Below are 21011 nucleotides of genomic sequence, written 5' to 3' on the forward strand. Positions count from 1 at the left end.
AAGACTTCATGTTATCATCACAAACATACCTCTTCCACGGGGCATTTTTGCTGTGTACTATTCATGAGTGCTAAGGGAAAAAAAGAAGGGGTTATAGAAGAGGAAAGGAAGAGAAAAGAGTGAACCTAGTTGCCTAAGCTTTAAAAGGAATTCAGGAGCATGACTGTCTTGCCATACCACTGTTTTTCCCTGCTATGCACACTTAAATGGAAAAGCAAAGTTGATGATCCACAGATTCAGAGAGTAAAGAAATACTGCCGCAAAGATTTGTCTGTGCAGACCAGGATATCCACACACATAACCAGTTGAAAAACCCGCTTGTAGGGTTTTTTTTTTTTTATTTTTTTGAGACAAGGTCTTGCTCTGTCACCCAGGCTGGAGTGCGGTGGCACAATATTGGCTCACTGCAGCCTCGACTTCCCTGGCTCAAGCGATCTTCCTGCCTCAGCCCCCTGAGTAGCTGGGACTACAGGCATGCACGACCACACCTGGCTCCTTTTCGTATCTTTTGTAGAAACGGGGTTTTGCTATGCTGCCCAGACTGGTCTCGACTTCCTGACCTCAAGTGATCCGCCCACCTTGGCCTCCTAAAGTGCTAGGATTACAGGCATGAGCCACTATGCCTGGCCTGTCTGCAGTTTTTAACAACGGTTTTAAAAAATCTAAAAACTATTTTGCAAAATCAATTTGCTACTTCAATAAGCATTGATTTTAAAGTATGAATAGTACTTAAAAGGTAATTCAGTAGTCGATCTACATTGTTTAAAATCAGCAATTTTAACTTGATTCTGCCCGTTCACACCAGAGGTCATTCACAGCAGGCCCCCAGGCAGCAGAGTGGCACTGCCGCTGAAGAACATGGAGGGGTCTTGCAGTCGTACGTACAGATGTCCTTCTGCACAACCTTCAAGAATCACTGCTTTCCCCTCTCCTTGTCTGGCTTTTTTCACATTCACTTATCTATGAAATCTTTCTTTTCTCTCTTGATCCTTCTGGAAAAACTGACACCTTCTGTCAGTGCTGAACAAGATTAATAGCTACAAACACTTTTGGTTTTCACTGCAGATTTTCATGTGTTGTCTCATGCTCTTTGTGCTAATTTCTCAACTATCTGCTTATACATTTCATTCTCACTTTCCCAGATTAAACAAATTTGCTGTAGTTGCCAGGAAAATCGAATTTGCCAGATTGCCATATAGACAAGCATGTCCCATTTTACCTCTCTGCCACAAGCTGCTAGTCTGGTACGTTTTGGGTTAATGCCACAGAATAAAGGCAGTATTTTCAGTTAGAGTTATCCTATCATTTTACAGAATTATTTTCAAACTTTTTCTTTTTTTTTTTCTTTTTGAGCTGGGGTCTCTCTCTGTCGCCCAGGCTGGAGTGCAGTGGCACGACCTTGGCTCACTGGAACCTCTGCCTTCCAGGTTCAAGCGATTCTCCTGCCTCATCCTTCCTAGTAGCTGGGATTACAGGTGCCCACCACTGCGCCGGGTTAATTTTTGTATTTTTAGTAGAGATGGGGTTTCACCATGTTGGTCAGGCTGGTGTCGAATTCCTGACCTCAGGTGATCCGCCCGCCTCAGCCTCCCAAAGTGCTGGGATTATAGGTGTGAGCCACAGTGCCTGGCCTATTTTCAAACTTTTCGAGTTCAAGTGGTTAAATTCTAAATACAAAACATATTCATGTTAAAGTTGAGATGTAGATGTGCAGTATTACCACCAATAAAGAATCTTCTCGAATTCCAGCAGGATCACAAGCCTGGAAAGACCCTCAGCGATCGTCCTACTCAAACTTCACAGAGGAGAAGACTGAGATACAGAGGGGTTAAATGAATTACCCCAGGTCCAACAGCCCTTTAGGAGCAAGGCTAGGAGCAGTTTGTTTCTTGAAGCAGTTTAACTCTGTGTGGAGCCAGGAGAGTGGGATGCTAGCTAGTCTTGATCTAAATAATTCAAAATTATCAATAAAATGATGTCAGAAGAAATAAACACATAGAAGGATTATTAATTATAAATACCCTTGCTATAGAACTATGAATGAATGATCAATGAACTAAGAATGAAAGATCAATGAAAATCACAATAATATAAGAAACTTACTGACTACATTTGTTTGGGACAGGGTATAAGAGTTAGATGCATTTGACATGATAACAAGAACGTCTGTGGAGTGGAAAGCTCAATGGCCTTGAAGTCAGGAAACAAGGTTCATATCTTGGCTCTACCTTGTGAAGCCACTTAACCTTTCTGGGACTCAGTTTCACTACCACATGTAAAATGGGTCAACACCTACCACGCACAGTGTTATTTTATAATGTATGGAAACAGTTCCTGACTCATGGTAGGTAAACAATATTAACTAAGTCTGAATTTCAGAAAATAATTTTCTCTTAAAAAGTTAATGAAAGGAAGAACATAAAATTCTAGATGTATCCAATTAGGATACATCAAAACACTTTACCAAAAATACTCAGGATTCACAAGAATACATGCAAAGAAAAGGACCCCAAGGCTTGACTGGAACCGGAATCATTATGAAATAAGTTGAACTACAACCAGTTAAAGAATATCACTTTAACAATGGGATAAAGTCTTTCCGCTTGCCAGGGTTAGATGACTGAGTATGGGATAGTAACACACACATTTTAATGGGCTGGCTAAGATAAAAATTATTTACAGCTTTTTCTTATAGAATAGGCAAAAAGAAGAAAACAAAAGGGAATGGCACAATTGTTACTCATTCTGTATTTATATGTTATCATGAAAGGATCTGTTTGGCCTTCTTGCCTAAACATCAGGAATACAAGTATTTCTTTAGTGTTTACAAAGCGACTGACAGAAGAATTAAAAGACAACTGAGTTAAAAACCAAAAAAACACCAGCTACCTCAAAGCAAGGTTTTTCCCTTTGTTTCATATCCTCCTTCCTCTCTCTGCTAGGGCCCTGTTTCACCGTTTTCTCTTCTTTCATGGCTCCAGTCTGATCCCTCCACTGATTGCTTCCCTGCTGCCTACAAATGTCTTCATGCTTCCTCATCCTAAGCATAGTCAGATCTCCTCTTTCCTTAACTCTGCCTCCTTCTCAAATTACAGTCCATATCTCTCCTGTTCACCACCAAATTTCATAGAAGAGTAGGCTACCCTAGCCGCCCCAACTTCCACATATTCTATTCATTGTTGAAATTGAAGTGTGGCTTCCAACTTCAATATTTACTGAAACTGCTCTCTCGTGGGTCTCAATTGACCTCCTAAGTGCCAGACACAATAACCTGTTCTCAGCACCTTTTGCTTGGCCTGGTTTAGTATTAAGAGCTATTGGTGATTCACCTGTTCCTTTTAAAATCTTCTCCTTTGACCTCTAAAACACAGCTGTGTCCTGTTTTTTTTTTTTTTTTTTTTTTTTTTTTAACTCTGACCATTCCTTTTAAGCTTTTATTGCCCATGTCTTCGCTGAGCAAGATCTATCTTGGGGGATCCATGGGAAGTCAGGCACAGATTGTGATTCCCTAACAAAAAAGTCCTGAAATCCAAGGGAATTAAGGCAAGAAGCCAGGGAACAAAGTGCAGGAGCCCACAGATATGACTCAGTGAAAGGAGGCCTTTCACAGCAGGGCTGGGTTCATTGGGTCATGCATTTTTGCCTTATGCCTCTTGAAGGCATAGCTTGTCCTCAGACGTCAGCGTCTCCAAGATTCTATCCCTTCTCATCTTTCCTATCCTGTGTACTTTCTCCCTACATGTTTGGCTACTTCCAGGATTTTGCTTATAACAGTGATTACTCTAAGTTATATCTCCAGCCAATAAATTCTTGCCTAAGTTCTAGATCCTAATTTTGTATTTAAATTATCTCTCTGCCCGTCATCGCCTGCCACCCACAACCCAAGGGTTATAAGGCATGAAAGGCTATCAAGAAGTTTTCATTTTTATATCTGAATTCTCTTCATCTCATACCATAGCATTCCCACATATTTATAGTTCACCAATAAAGAAAAAAAATGGAGTGGGGAAACATGGCATATTTTTCTGTATTGTCAGCTTGTAAAATTTTCACTGGAATTGTTCAAATGCATATTCTTCATGACCTGTGAATATCCTAAATTCATAATGGGCATGGTGGCTCACACCTGTAATCCTAGCACTTTGGGAGACCAAGGCGGGCAAATCACTTGAGGTCAGGAGACCAGCCTGACCAATGTGGTGAAATCCCATCTCTACTAAAAATACAAAAATTAGCCGGGCATGGTGGTGGGTGCCTGTAATCCCAGCTACTCAAGAGGCTGAGGCAGGAGAATTGCTTGAGCCTAGGAGGTGGAGGTAGCAACGAGACAAGATCGCGCCACTGCAGTCCAGCCTGGGCGACAGTGAGAGACCATGTATCGGGGGGGAAAAACAACCAAGTTATGTTTCTAAAAATAGGGCACATTCTCCTCGGGGTGGTAACCTCAGCTCAGATAATGCAAAGAACATCTAAAATCCTATCTTTATCCTTTTCTAACACAGGCAATCCATGTTCTATTTTTAAAGAGATCTTTCCAGAGCCTTTTATTTAAAAAAGTGTTAAAATACCACACTAATAGCAAGTTTTGAAGTTTTGACCAAGAGATAAGGACAGAAAATAGAAATGTTCCTTTCTGATGGGAATTCTACTCTTAGCACTTCTATCTTGATATGGTAGTATAAGCCCGTCTTTATAGGCACTTATACAGTTAAAAAATATATTGTGAAAAGTACCTGTAGAAACAAATGAACCAAAAGGAACAGGATTTAATACTTCTTTTTTCTTTTCTTTGAGACAGAGTTTTGCTCTTGTTGCCCAGGCTGGAGTGCAGTGGCACAATCTTGGCTCACTGCAACCTCCACCTCCTGGGTTCAAGCCATTCTCCTGCCTCAGCCTCCCAAGTAGCTGGGATTACAGGTGCCTGCCACCACGCCCAGCTAATTTTTGTATTTTTAGTAGAGACGAGGTTTCACCATGTTGGTTGGGCTGGTCTTGGAACTCCTGACCTCAGGTGATCCACCTGCCTCAGCCCCCAAAAAAGTGCTGGGATTACAGGCATGAGCCACCGTGCCTGCCAGGACTTAATATTTCTTAAACCTGTTAGATATCTCTAACTCTAGAAAATGGTTACATAATTTTTTTTTTTTTTTTTTGAGATGGAGTCTCGCTCTGTCGCCCAGGCTGGAGTGCAGTGGCGCGATCTCGGCTCACTGCAACCTCTGCCTCCCGGGTTCACGCCATTCTCCTGCCTCAGCCTCCCAAGTAGCTGGGACTACAGGTGCCTGCCACTACGCCCGGCTAATTTTTGGTATTTTTAGTAGAGTCAGGGTTTCACTGTGTTAGCCAGGATGGTCTTGATCTCCTGACCTCGTGATCCGCCTGCCTTGGCCTCCCAAAGTGCTGGGATTACAGGCATGAGCCACTGCACCCGGCCGCTACATAAAATTTATATTAGATCACAGAAACTAACTAGAGAGGCAAATTAAAAAAAAAAAACAAACAGCTTTATAGTATCACATTTGGGATTAAGGAAAAAAAACCCCAGCTTTGTTCTGCAAGAGAAAAACACAGTTCTGAGAAACCGGCTTATCAATAAATATAGGCTGAAAAGTAGCTGTTTGTCTGAAATGCTTTAATACCTCTTAGGAGAAGCTACTCTTGGGTTCTTTGTAGATTCGTCAAATACAATCACCTGCTGGAAATCTAAATCATCACTTAAAATTATTACAGAGGAAAATACAGAGAAGGAAAAAACAAACTTACATCTCTTGATTACCGCTCTAATGGATGACAAGGGTCCTTGGCTAGAAAAAGAAAGAAAACTTATTATACATTCATTAATCCTTTTTGAAAAGAGCCATTCATAAGGCCAAGTCATTTCTGGGATTCAATATGGTGCTAAGCCACAAGTTTGATACATTATTTACTGGCCTATCCTCTTTAAAAATCAAAAATTAAAGAAATTTTTAAAACTTGACTTTAATTTGTTTTATGGGAAATATATTTGCAGTGTAAGTAAAATTTTGCCTTAAAATTGCTTTCATAGCTACTTACATACTGTATCTTCCAGTGAAAATCTGGATACCACTCGTAATTAGACAGCATTACATGGCGCTCAAAAGAACTTTATTCCTTATGGCTCTTTTGTGTTTGACACTGAAATTCCTATCTTCATATATCACATCAAAGTACATAATCTATATAGTCAATTTGACCTAAGGAACAACAGCATTTCTTCTTAAGATTAGAATTTAAAACATCACCACCTAAAAATAAAATAATCTTGTGAGACTTTCCCCTCTCCCTCCCAGACTCCCTGTCTCTCTCTCCCCCTTCTTTCTCTCCCTTTCTCCCCTCCTACCCAACACCCTGCTTCCTCTCTTGCTCTTCTGCCTTTCACCATGGGATGACACGGCAACAAGAAGACCCTCTCCAGATACCAGCCTCTCAATCTTGGATTTCCCAGCCTCCATACCCATGAGCCAATAAATTTCTGTTCATTATAAATTACCCATTTTGTGGTATTATAGGAGCAAAAAATTGACTAAGACAATACTATTGTGTTATACAGAGGGAAAGATTAAGCTCTAGGAGGTCTCTGATACCTTAAAGCGAGGACTGTAATATAAAGATACAACTGTTTACAGTAATACTGATTTTTTAAAGAGTGCTTAAAGGCTTTCTGTAAAACAGCTACATGAAAAAAGAATTAATATAAGGTAGAGGCGGAATGTCCCTCATCCAAAATGCCTGGGACCAGAATTATTTAGGATTTCTTTTTATTTTGGAATATTTGCATTATATACTTACCAGTTAAGTATCCCTAATCCAAAAATCTGAAATCTGAAATGATATAATGAGCATTTCCTTTGAACATTATGTTACTACTGCTCAAAAAATTTCAAATTTTGAAGCATTCTGGATTTCGGATTAGGGATACTCAATCTTAATATGGAAGGGGTAACAGCCCTCTTAGTGAATACATCACAATCTCCTTGCTCACTACCACTGATTTGGCAGGGATGATATTATGAATTTAAAACATCCTTTGTCTCTTTTGTTGAGAAGGAAGATGTATTGATTGGGGTGGAACACGGAAGGTGTTACAGGTTGAAGCATATCCTCCCTCAAAAAGAAATGTTGATGTCCTTACCAGTAGGACTTCAGAATGTGATCTTACTTGAAAATAGAGTCCATACAGATGTAATTAGTTAAGATAAGGTCACACTGGAGTTGGATGGGCCCCAATCCAACATAACTGGTTTCTTAGAAGATGGCCATCTGAAGAGCCAAACCAAGGTACACCAAAGACTGCTGGTCAACCTCCATAAGCTAATAGGCAAGGAAGAAATCACCTATGAGTTTCAGAGGGGGCATAGCCCTGCTGACACCTTGATTTCAGACTTCCAGCTTCCAAGACTGTGAGACAGTAAGTTTCTGTTTTTGTTTTTGTTTTTTGTTTTTTTAATTTTTAGACAGAGTCTCGCTCTGTCGCCCAGGGTGGAGTGCAGTGGTGTGATCTCGGCTCACTGCCAGCTCTGCCTCCCGGGTTCACACCATTCTCCTGCCTCAGCCTCCCAAGCAGCTGGGACTACAGGCACCCACCACCATGCCCAGCTGATTTTTTGTATTTTTAGTAGAGACAGGGTTTCACTGTGCTAGCCAGGATGGTCTCGATCTCCTGACCTTGTGATCTGCCCGCCTCGGCCTCCCAAAGTGCTGGGATTACAGGTGTGAGCCACCATGCCCGGCCAAGTTTCTGTTGTTTTAAGTCACTCAGTGATATGGTTTGGCTGTGTCCCCACCCAAATTTCATCGTGAATTGTAACTCCCACAATTCCGTGTCGTGGGATGAACCTGGTTGGAGGTGATTGAATTATGGGGGCAGGTTTTTCCTGTGTAGTTCTCACGACAGTGAATAAGTCTTATGAGATCTGATGGTTTTAAAAAGAGGCATTCCCTTGCACAAACACTATTCTCTTGTCTGCCGCCTTGTGAGATGTGCTTTTCACCTTCTGCTATGATTGTGAGGCCTCTCCAGCCATGTGGAACTGTGAGTCCAAAAAGAAAGTTTACAAAACTTTCTTTTGTAAACTGCCCAGTCTCAGGTATGTCTTTATCAGCAGTGTGAAAACAGGCTAATACAGTAAATTGGTACTAGTAGAGTGGGTGCTGCTGTAGATACCCCAAAATGTGGAAGCGACTTTGGAACTGGGTAACAGGCAGGGGTTGGAATAGTTTGGAGGGTTCAGAAGAAGACAGGAAAATGTGGGACAGTTTGGAACTTCCTAGAGACTTGCTGAATGGCTTTGCCCAAAATGCTGATAATGATATGGATAATGAAAACCAGGCTGAGGTGTTCTCAGATGGAGATGAGGAACTTGTTGGGAACTTGAGCAAAGGTGACTCTTGTTATGTTTTAGCAAAGAGACTGGTGGCATTTTGCATCTGCCCTAGAGATTTGTGGAACTCTGAACTTGAGAGAGATGATTTAGGGCCTCTGGCAGAAGAAATTTCTAAGCAGCAAAGCATTCAAAAAGTCACTTGGGTTCTTTTAAAGGCATTCAATTTTATAAGGGAAGCAGAGCATAAAAGTTGGGGAAATTTGCAGCCTGACAATGTGATAAAAGAGAAAATCCCATTTGCTGAGGAGAAATTCAAAATGGCTGCAGAAACTTGCATAAGTAACAAGGGGCCAAATGTTAATCCCCAAGACACTATGGGGAGAATGTCTCCAGGGCATGTCACAGGTCTTCTTGGCGGCTCCTCCCATCACAGGCCCTGAGACCTAGGAGAAAAAAATGGTTTCATGGGTTAGGCCCAGGGTCCCTCTGCTGTGTGCACTCTAGGGACTTGGTGCCCTGCCTCCCAGCCACTCCAGCTGTGGCTGAAAGGGGACAACGTAGAGCTTGGGCCGTGGCTTCAGAGGGTGCAAGCCCCAAGACTTGGCAGCTTCCATGTGGTGTTGAGCGTGCAAGTGCACAGAAGTCAAGAATTGAGGTTTGGGAACCTCCACCTAGATTTCAGGGGATTTATGGAAACACCTGGATGTCCAGGCAGAAGTTTGCTGCAGGGGTGGGGCTCTCAAGGAGAACCTCTGATAGGGCAGTGCAGAAGGGAAATGTGGGGTCGGAGCCCCAACACAGAGTCCCTACTGGGGCATCGCCTAGTGGAGCTGGGAGAATAGGGCCACTGTCCTCCAGACCCCAGAACAGTAGATCCACTGACAGCTTGCACTGTGCTCCTGGAAAAGCCGCAGACACTCAACGCCAGCCGTGAAAGCAGCTGGTGGGGAGGCTATACCCTGCAAAACCACAGGGGTGGAGCTGCCCAAGACCATGGGAACCCACCTCTTGCATCAGCATGACCTGGATCGTTTTGGACCTGGCGTCAAAGTAGATCGTTTTGGAGCTTTAAGATTTGACCTGCCCTGCTGGATTTCAGACTTGCATGGGGACTGTAGCCCCTTTGTTTTGGCCAATTTCTCCCATTTGGAATGGCTGTATTTACCCAATGCCTGTACGCCCATTGTATCTAGGAAGTAACTAACTTGCTTTTGATTTTACTGGTTCATAGGCGGAAGGGACATGCCTTGTCTCAGATGAGACATTGGACTGTGAACTTTTGAGTTAATACTGAAATGAATTAAGACTTTGGGGGACTCTTACGAAGGCATGATTGGTTTTAAAATGTGAGGACATGACATTTGGGAGGGGCCAGGGGTGAAATGACATGGTTTGGCTGTGTCCCCACCCAAATCTCATCTTGAATTTTAACTTCCACAATTCTCATGTGTCATGGGAGGAACCTGGTGGGAGGTGATTGAGTTATGGGGGTGGGTCTTTCCTGTGCTGTTCTCATGATAGTGAATAAGTCTGGAAGATCTGATGGTTTTAAAAGGAGGTGTTCCCCTGTACAAGGCATGTAAGTAGAAAGCATGATATACCCACTGGGGCAGCATGACTGTCAGAAGAGTACAGAATCTGTTCTTTTTTTTTTCTTTTGAGATGGAGTCTTGCTCTGTCACCTAGGCTGGAGTGCAGTGGCGCAATCTCGGCTCACTGCAAGCTTCACCTCCCAGGTTCATGCCATTCTCCTGCCTCAGCTTCCCGAGTAGCTGGGACTACAGATGATCGCCATCATGCCCAGCTAAATTTTTGTATTTTTAGTAGAGATGGGGTTTCATCATGTTAGCCAGGATGGTCTTGATCTCCTGACCTCATGATCTTCCCACCTCGGCCTCCCAAAGTGCTGGGATTACAGGCGTGAGCCACCACACCCAGCCCTTTTTTTTTTTTTTTTTTGATACAGAGTCTTGCTCTGTCACCAGGCTGGAGTGCAGTGGCATGATCTTGGCTCACTGCAAGCTCCGCCTCCTGGGTTCACGCCATTCTCCTGCTTCAGCCTCCCCACAGCTGGGACTACAGGTGCCACGACCAGCTAATTTTTTTGTATTTTTAGTAGAGATGGGGTTTCACCATGTTAGCCAGGATGGTCTCGATCTCCTGACCTCGTGATCCGCCTGCCTCGGCCTCGCAAAGTGCTGGGATTACAGGCGTGAGCCACCGCGCCCGGCAAGAGTACAGAATCTGTAGTCAGCTAGAGGTGTTTTCTTATTTGTGTGAGCTGGCCAATTTACTTACTTGCTGGAATTGTTTCCTTATCTGTAATATGAGGATACTAGTGCCTATCTTTTGGCTTGTTGCTAAGACTGAATAAGAAAACTCTGTGAAATATATATCATAGTACTGGGCACGTATCAGAGTCTCAAGATATGTTAAATTTCCTACCCATTTTCCAATATAAACATTTCTGTTGTTCACAATATATATGGCTGAAATTTTTGGGACTATCCTGCCATCACCAGTGGGTTAACCTATAGTTATTATAACCCTACCTTATAAATTTAAATGATTTGCATTTCTGCTGAAATTATTATTTACCATTTACAATCATTCTGAGTTTCACAACACATACTTCTCATATACCCAATCTCCTATGAAGCCAAAGCAATAACAAAACCAAGAGAACAAAACAAACCTACAAGCCTTTGTGAACGCTGTATTTCCCCCATTGAAAACACAGACCTCTGTTCCTTTAGGTCATCCTTCTCAGGATGTTTCCCAAGAAATGGGCATGCTGATCAAGTAGCTATGTATATTTAGTTTCATATTTAACTCTATTAAAAAACAAATCCCACAAAAAAGTTCAAAGATCTTGGAAAAGACTTTCAATTATGTTCTTTATAACTACAGCCAGTTTAAAAATCAGAATATGTTGCCTTGTCCTTTCCAATTCTTCTTTTTTTTTTTTTTAATCACACATTCCTGTCTTGACTCTCTAACTAGACTGCAAGCTTCTCAAGGAGAAAGAATGTGTCATGTAACATGTGCCCACTACTGGACTAATGTGAACTCAATTCTACTCATAGAGAGAAAGAAATATTGTAATTTAAATAGTACTAGTTATTCCACCTATAATCCACTTAATAAGCAAATCCCCAGGGATAATTTTGCTGCTGGTTTTGTTTAGTTGGACTCAGTTGCCAGTTACATCTCACTGTATGCACATCTTATCAAAAGTGTCTGGTCTAATGTTTAAAATAGGTTTGTTTTTTTTTTTAAATATAAAAAGTCATCTTGATGAGCATTTGGTGTTCACTAAAGAACAGCACTCACTTCTAATGGAAAACTAGCCAGGTTGACCTTATTTAGAGATGGTACGGTAGACTTCAACATGGCACTTGAAATTGGCAATAAATACTGTACTTTTAGTATCAATTAACAGAATTTTGGAAGTAATTCTGCATATTTGGTTTTCTCATTATACACTTTCTTTAGAACCTGTCTCTTCGTAAGTTAAGACTCTGGTAGTTCCTAAGCAACAAGCAGCACAAAGTCTTCACTGGTATGCCGCTAAATTTGAAACCATGTGTAATATACAGTAACACACAGTGACACACAGTGACTTTACTAAGATGGAACTTGTCTGAATGGGTTAGGTTACATGACATGGAACAGATACAACTTGGTTTGGGAAGAGGTATGGTGCATGTCAACCCAGCACCTAAGAAATGTAGCATTTACTGCAACATATGAGCTCAGAATCTAACCCCTTCAAATGTGAACACAGAAAGATTAAGAACTGTGGGTCTGATGTATAATTGTGTTCAATGGACACCTATTGAAGGAACCAAGGAATTAATAACCAGAATAAAACTTTTCTGGGGTTATATCTTTCCTTCACAGTCAACCTAAGTGATCTATAGAAAGAGTTTATATAGAAAACCTAAAAAGACAAAAAGGGCTAAAATCTAATCCTCTCTTTTCTAGATGTGTAGCAGTATAGTAGGATTAATTTTTTTTTTTTTTTTTTTTTTTTTTTTTTTGGTCACTCAGCTCTGTCACCCAGGCTGGAGTGCAGTGGCATGATCTCGGCTTACTGCAACCTCTGCCTCCTGGGTTTTAGCGATACTCCTGCCTCAGCCTCCCAAGTAGCTTGGATTACAGGTGCCCGCCACCACGCCCAGCTAGTTTTTTTGTATTTTTAGTAGAGATGGGGTCTCACCAGTTGGCCAGGCTGGTCTTACACTCTTGACCTCAAGTGATCCACCCACCACGGCCTCCCAAAGTGCTGGGATTACAGGCATGAGCCACCGCCCCCAGCCAGTAGGATTAATTTTTATGATTAGGAGTTATTTGTTGGTAAAAGGCATAAAAAGGATAGCATAGGTCTAAAGAGGTGTCTATTAAATGCCAGGAAAAAAATAAGCGATAAAATATAGACAAATATATGGTAGTTTCAGTTTCAAGCATCCACAACAACTACAGACTGATTTTTCAAACTTTTGTCTTTTTCAATTCTCCTGCCTCAGCCTCCCGAGTAGCTGGGATTACAGGTGCCCGCCACAACGCCCAGCTAATTTTTTGTAAATTTAGTGGAGATGAAGTTTCACCATGTTGGCCAGGCTGGTCTCGAACTCCTGACCTCAGGTGATCTGCCTACCTCAGCCTCCCAAAGTGCTGGGATCACAGGCATGAGCCACCGTGCCTGGCTAAACTTTTGTCCTATTAGCTGATGATTTCTTCATTTTTCGTCAAACGATTAATGTGCATCTAACTGTTAAGAGTTAACCTTAATTTTCAGCTGGGCATGGAGGCTCACACCTTTAATCCCAGCACTTTGGGAGGCTGAGGCAGGTGGATCGCCACAGGTCAGGAGTTCGAGACCAGCCTAGCCAATGTGGTGAAACAAAAAATACAAAAATTAGCCAGGTGTGGTGGCACCTGCCTGTAATCCCAGCTACCCGGTAGGCTGAGGCATGAGAATCACTTGAACCTGAGAGGCAGAGGTTGCAGTGAGCCAAGATCGTGCACTGCACTCCAGCCTAGGCGACAAAGGAAGACCATCTTAAAAAAAAAAAAAAAAAGGTTGGGCGCGGTGGCTCATGCCTATATTCCCAGTGCTTTGGGAGGCTGAGGTGGGTGGATCACGAGGTCAGGAGATCGAGACCATCCTGGCTAACATGGTGAAACCTCGTCTCTATTAAAAATACGAAAAAAATTAGCCGGGCATGATGGCGGGTGCCTGTAGTCCCAGCTACTCGGGAGGCTGAGGCAGGAGAATGGTGTGAACCCAGCAGGCGGAGCGTGCAGTGAGCCCAGATCGCCCCACTGCACTCCAGCCTGGTGGACAGAGTGAGACTCTGTCTCAAAAAAAAAAAAAAAAAAAAAAAAAAGAAAAAGAAAAAAAGAGTTAACCTTAATTTTCAAGCAAGAAACCTAATGCCTATGTTATTCCAGGCATTGTGCTGGGCACCAAAGAAAGAAGATTAACTAGGACATGGCCCCTGCCCATAGGTGCTCATAGGTGCTCATGGTCTAGTGAGAAGCCTGTGGATAAGAAAAGAGCTTATGATTTGAATTTCTGCTTTTCTTAAAATTAGAACATTTATATATTTTTTTAATCTTTTATCAGAGAGGTGTTTTTACATATTAGTTCCTCTATTAGAATATAATCTCCTTCTCAGGCCATATACATGTTGGACATGTTGGAATGATGTTGCACATAAATCCTAAATTAAAAAAATAATTACAGCAAATTTTAAAAAATTAAGGCAATTTAAGAAGTCCTCTTGACATGCTCAGATTCCATGCCATAAAATACTTTAGATCATACGTAAAGAAAAAGTTTCTGAAAAACAACTGACTCATCCAGTTACACCCTACTTAACAATGACTTTAAAAGATGTAAGAGAAGTTCTTAAAAAAAAAAAAAAAAGAAAAAAGAATTTTCTCAAACCGGTCATCCTGGTTTCAAAAACTATATATATGCAAAGGGGTGACACATCCCTTCGGACACTTCCTTATGAACGTTTGGGGAAAACCTGGTATAAGCTGCTGCCACAGACATGAGACTGGCAGGGGACACTGCCTGGCAAGAGAAAGTAGGACAGAGGAAGCTGGGTGGAAATTCAAACAGGAATCATTTGGTCATATCAAAAACGGAACATCAAAGGCAGGCCCATCAAGGTCCATATTTAGAGTCTATACATATAATAAGAAACAAATCTGGGCAACATAGTGAGACCCTTATCTCTACAAAAAATAAAAAAAATTAACTGGATGTGGTGGTGCGTGCCTGCCTGTAGTTCCAGTTACTTGGGAGGCTGAGGCAGGGGGATGGCTTGAGCCTGGGAATTCGAGGCTGCAGTGGGCCAGGATGGCACCACCACAGCCCAGCCTGGGCAACAGAGAAAGACCCTGTCTCAAAAACAAACAAACAAAACATAAAACACCAAGAAAAAGCCCTCTGTCCAGAGATGAAAAAATTCTCAGGGAGAAAAGGGAAGAGGAAAAGATATTAGCTTATCACTACCTAGAAAAATCTGCTATTTATAGTATTAGTTTTTTTTTTTTAACTAAACATATACTGAATACTCCAGTATGCTGGTTCTCATCAGAACATATAATCTATTTTTCTTGATGGGACTTAATTAAACTAAAAAGCTTCTGCACAGCAAAACAAATAATCAGCAGAGTAAACAACCCACAGAGTGGGAGAAAATCTTCACAATCTATACATCCAACAAAGGACTAATATCCAGAATTTACAAGGAACTCAAACAAGTCAGCAAGTAAAAAACAAACAATCCCATCAAAAATTAGGCTAAGGGCATGAATAGACAATTCTCAAAGGAAGATATATAAATGGCTAACAAACATATGAAAAATGCCCGACATCATTAATTATCAGAGAAATGCAAATCAAAACCACAATGTGATACCCCTCTACTCCTGCAAGAATGGCCATAATAAAAAAATCAAAAAATATTAATAGATGTTGGTATGGATGCAGTGAAAAGGGAACACTTTGACACTGCTAGTGGGAATGTAAACTAGTACAGCCACTATGGAAAACAGTGTGGAGATTCCTTAAAGAACTAAAAGTAGAACCACCATTTGATCCAGCAATCCCACTCCTGGGTATCTACCTAGGTATCACACACTGCACTCCAGCCTGGGTGACAGAGCAAGACGATCTCAAAAAAAAAAGAGTTAATCTTAATTTTCAACCAAGACATCTAATGCCTATGCTATTCCGGGCATTGTGCTGGGCACCTTAGGGTAAAATAAGTCATTATACCGAAAAGATACTTGCACATGCATATTTATAGCAGCACAATTCACCACACCCAGCCTTCTAATTTACTTTGAATTCGTCAGAAGGGATAGTTGCACGGCATGGGTGTCTAATATCTACTGATGATGTGGCAATCAAAATCAGCACAAAAATTCAAATGTTCCAGAAGCAGCTAATATTTGGAACTGGGTTAGCAACAAATGTTACAAACAAGGGGGTGTGTGCATGCACGTGACTATTTGGGAAGAGCCTTAACCTCAACATGTGATATTTTCAAACGAGAGCATATTCATCTCAATTAACCACTGCAATATTCTCCTGTGAAAAATAAAACCCTACTATTAATTCTAAAACATACGAAAAATCAGTGTGTTTAGACAGCAGAAGGGAAAGAAAAAAGGTGAGAAACATGATTTTGTCTCTCTCCATTCTTTATGCGATTAAAATAAAACTAATAAGGGATAATAGTGGTCATTTTAAAAGTAAAAACAAATACATATTTTAAGCATCTGAAAATGATCAAAATATTAATTAAATGACATTTCTAAAAACCTAGAAATTAGGTCAGTTTGAAGCCAAGGCTTTATGTGAAATAGTGAGGCAGATACTTTTTTTAAAAAGCAAAATTTGAATGTTATTAATAAAATACATAAATTATTTAAATTGTTGTGACACTGTAAGATTTTTTCCACATCAGATAACTTTAAAAAATGTATCTTTCAGGCCAGGTGCGGTGGCTCATGCCTGTAATCCCAGCACTTTGGGAGGCTGAGGCGGGCGAATAACGAGGTTAGCAGATCGAGACAATCCTGGCTAACATGGTGAAACCTCATCTCTACAAAAAATACAAAAAATAAGCCAGGCGTGGTGGCACATGCCTGTAGTCCCAGCTACTCAGGAGGCTGAGGCAGAAGAATCACTTGAACCCGAGAGGTGGAGGTTGCAGTGAGCTGAGATCACACCACTGCACTCCAGCATGGGTGACACAGCGAGACTCTGTCTCAAAAAAAAAAAAAATATATATATAATATAAAAATATATATTATATAAAATATAAAATTATATTATATAAAAATTATATAATATATAATATATATCATATATTATATATTATATAAAATATATATTATATAAAATATATATAAAAATATATATTTATCTTTATATATAAAAATATATACGTATCTTTCAAATGTGAATGCCCTAGCCACCCATTTCTTAGCTTTGTATCACTTGATCAAAGGTTTTAGGTTAGCTAAGCCTTCCTTTGACCCTTTAGAGGCTCCTACATCATTACATTTCTAGCTTTTCACCAAATATCTAGTGATGTCTAAGCCAAAATAAAATACACTCAATCAATGGTTGAGAAATAATGAAGCAACAAATATATACATAACGGCAAAACAATGTAAATTCATAAAAATGCATAAATTATTTAATTACCAATTAAAAAAACATTTTAAACACTCATTTAACTGAGTCTTTCAAAAATAGGCAGCTCTTAAGGAGTTACTGTTATAAAGCTGAAGGCTTTAACCAAGAATATAAACACAACGTGGAAACAGCTGAATTCATTCTTAACAATCAAAGATTTGTTCTTCTCTGGAAATTGCAACAGAAACTTCAGCAGTGGGTAGGCACGAAACCTTTACTCTAAATATTCAACAATTTCTCCATGAGACAAGCAGGGCTAGCAGCCTTCCCACCAGCTAACATCTTTTTTTTTTTTTTTTTGCAAAGCCACTGGAGAACTTTCCCATTAGATACCAAGAACATATTTGGTAGCCGAAGGACATTAAAGTGATTTAAAATTATAAATACCAATAGTTACATGAAATTACCCAAAAGATACAGTAAATTTCTAGATTTGGGAGCCCACAAAGAAGTATGTTTTAGGATATTATTAATATATTATGTATCTGAGGATACCATCATTTAAGGGGAATGACTGACTGTTCATTAGGACTACAGACTCTGAGTCTGAGTACAACTGTCCCCAAACAAACAGTTCTGTTTTCAGGATATTTAAAAAGATTCACAGAGAGGAAATGTGCCTTTTATCAGCCTCAGTTTAAAGAAGCAGACAGGAGAGATCCAAGAAGGTACAGCAGAGAATGTAGTAGAAAATGGCAGGTATGGAGTTCAGCAGAACAAAGGATGGGGCATAATATTGTGGGTGGACAGAGCAAGGTTCCAAATAGTCTCAAAGTAAGGACTCTGCCTGGGAAATGATAAAACTCATTTGGCAGCATACTTTGAAATAACTCGCCTGCTGCACAGGGGGCATAGGCTGCCCCATCCCCATTCATTCCCTCTTCTTTCCTGCCACACTGGAAGCATTTTATTCAGCTATTCTCATCTAGCCTCCCCTTGTGACCAGCTGCACGCACTGTGAAAGGGCCCAAAGTGCAGACCGTGCCAAAGCAAAAGAGCATGCATGACCAAATGACACCGGAATCCATGTCTACAAGGAAAACAAGTCCCCAAACTACGAAATAGTATAATCCCAATGTTATTTGTAAAATCTTACTTTAAAAAATATATATTTATTTTGCTATGGTCTGAATGTTTGTATCCCCATCAAATTCATATATTGAAATCCTAATCTCCAAGGTTTTGGTACCAGGAGATGTGACCTTTGGGAAGTGATTAGGTCATAAGGGTAGAGCCCTCATGAATGGGATTAATGTTCTCATAAAAGAGGCCCCAGAGAGATCCCTTGCCTTTCTGCCATAAGAGGAAACAGCAAGAAGATACTGTCTATGAACCAGACTGCAAGCCCTTATTAGACAGGGAGTCTGCTGGTGTCTTATCTTGAACTTCCCAGCCTCGAGAAGTGTGGATTTTTTTGTTTGTTTGTCATTTATAAGCCACCTGGTCTACAGTATTTTGTTATAGCAGCCTGAATGGACTAACACATACATACATACATACACACATACATACATACACATACACACACACCCCACACACATATTTGTATAATTACATTTATACAAAAAAAGTGAGAACGCATCTACCCAGTGATGTGCTGGAGCCAGCTCATGTGAGCTGACAATTGAATTTTCAGAAATTTTGCAAGCCAGTTGTTAAATATAACCATTATTAAAAATTAAGTTATACAAACTTACAATTAAAGTAAAGCTAATATTAAAGGTTCATCATTTCCTAATTATTTTCTTAAATTTTACTACTGCTAATGACGTGCTACTGTGCATCTCTTCCCAATCTATCACCAGTGGTATCATATTGGTAGCTTTAAATTGGCCATGGTGGGAATATTTATCCCACAAAACTGGCAAATTAGGGTTTACTTTATCATTTTATTGACTGTCTAAACTTAAGAAAGTGACAAAGAAAATGTTAGTAATAATGCACGTTCAACCTAAAAGCATGTTATATGTGGAGCTGTTACATTACGACAAGAACAAAAAAACTGAGGAAACATTCTTCCAGTTTGAAAACTATCATCTGAATCAGCAAAGAGGTTGCTCATGCAATTGACAAATGAATAGAAACTCTGACATATATTTTGGTTTTGGTTTTTGACACATATTTTGTTTCACGTTTATCTTACTCATTAATATAAACAAACATATCAACCAACATTCATATTGGAATTACGCTCAGAGAGCGAGTTGCTCACATTTATCAGCATACCACTGCACAGGCCCCAGATGTTAACAATAGTTGATTCTAAGAGGTAAAGAATTATGAATGATTTGTCATCTACCTGTGTCTCTGAATTTTTCAAGCTTTATAATTACTTTAATAATTTGTGTGCTATTTTTAAAAATTGCTATAGCAAACAAACAAAACAAAATAAATTCACTGGTTCATGTCAAATTCATGACCTCTAAATAATGAAGATTATAGCCAAACCACCAGCCAATCAATCACTTTCTGGAAACAGCAGGCTGAGTTCAAAGTCACATGTAGATGCCATTACAGGGCTGAAAATCCCCCAGAATCCTGATGTGAATAACAAAAATGAATTACAGCATGCATACAACTTCAAATCTCTGTATTTCCCATACCCCTTATTGCTCCAGCATAAAATAAAAATACAGGGTGTTAATCAAATTAAATCCATATAACATTTAGAATTTTAAAAGCATTAATTTAGCTATTATTTCCCGAGTGTTTTCTACGTTCCAGAAATTTTCCTAGGTGCTGAGGACAAAAGTAAAACAAGATGAGCCCCTCTATTCAAAGAGATTACAGTTAAGTACAGAAGACAGAGAAGTAAACAATTTTTTAAACAGGCGATTTTAATACAGATTAGAAAATGTGGAACCACCTAGGAACATCTGGAGTCTTTAAAAAATAGTATCACAAATATAGAACTAATCATGAATGCCAATTTCAATGAAATACAACTAAAGGAGAGGGTAAAGTATAATCAAACTCTAAAAAATAATAAAATAGGCCGGGCACAGTGGCTCATGCCTATAATCTCAGCACTTTGGGAGGCCGAGGCGGGTGGATCACCTGAGGTCAGGAGTTCGAGACCAGCCTGGGCCAACATGGCGAAACTCTGTCTCTACTAAAAATACAAAAATTAGCCAGGCATGGTGGCGGCTACCTGTAATCTCAGATAATGGAGAGGTTGAGACAGGAGATTTGCTTGAACTCGGGAGGCAGAGGTTACAGTGAGCCGAGATTGCCCCACTGGACTCCAGCCTGGGCGGTAAGAGCAAAACTCCATCTCAAAAAAAAAAAAAAGAAAGAAAATAATGATAATAACAATAAGGCTGAGTGTGGTAGCTCACGCCTGTAATCCCAGCACTTTAGGAGGCCGAGGCAGGTGGATCACGAGGTCAGGAGATCGAGACCATCCTGGTTAACACGGTGAAACCCTGTCTCTACTAAAAATACAAAAAATTAGCCGGGCGTGGTGGCACACACCTGTAGTCCTAGCTACTAGGGAAGCTGAGGCAGGAGAATCGCTTGAACTCAGGAGGCGGAGGTTGCTGTGAGCCGAGATCGCGCCACTGAATGCCAGCCTAGGCGACAGAGCAAGACTCCGTCTCAAAATAATAATAAAATAGATTCTTAGTGGCAAGACTATGCATACATGAATAGTAACATCTGCTTTTCTGTAGCAGCCAAAGCCAGAGTCACTCCTCAAACTCCTAGCTAGTCCAGTGCTGGCATTTTTAGAACTGGTGTGGCACTACAGTCCAGTACTAATTCCAACTTTTAGTTGCACTAAAGATGATCCTCCTCATACCTCTAACCAATATCTATGTCACCATAAGAATGTCTGTAAGATATGCCAACTGTTTCTTGCGTCATGGCCCTTCTTGTTGGAAAAATTCCTAATGATAGGAATCAACCGAAATGAAGGTGTGAATGGATAGATGGAG

At 40.4% G+C, this 21011-nt stretch overlaps 1 protein-coding gene across 13 annotated transcripts in view; it reads right to left on the bottom strand.

Moving 5' to 3' along the window:
- SH3D19 (SH3 domain containing 19) overlaps window positions 1-21011 on the bottom strand; it is a 205325-nt gene that overhangs the window by 61379 nt on the left and 122935 nt on the right. For 9 of the 13 annotated variants that reach the window (NM_001378122.1, NM_001378121.1, NM_001243349.2 and 6 more), the window contains one exon: window positions 5764-5804. The exons of 2 other annotated variants lie outside the window; for them this stretch is intronic. In NM_001378122.1, coding sequence (NP_001365051.1) covers window positions 5764-5804 — 41 coding nt within the window. Of the gene's footprint in view, window positions 1-29; window positions 71-5763; window positions 5805-21011 lie in introns of all 13 variants that reach the window. 2 more of the 13 variants (NM_001378123.1, NM_001378124.1) reach the window with 1 other exon arrangement.

Source organism: Homo sapiens, chromosome 4 (genome assembly GCF_000001405.40).
Source record: "Homo sapiens chromosome 4, GRCh38.p14 Primary Assembly".
Classification (NCBI taxonomy): Eukaryota; Metazoa; Chordata; class Mammalia; order Primates; family Hominidae; genus Homo; species Homo sapiens.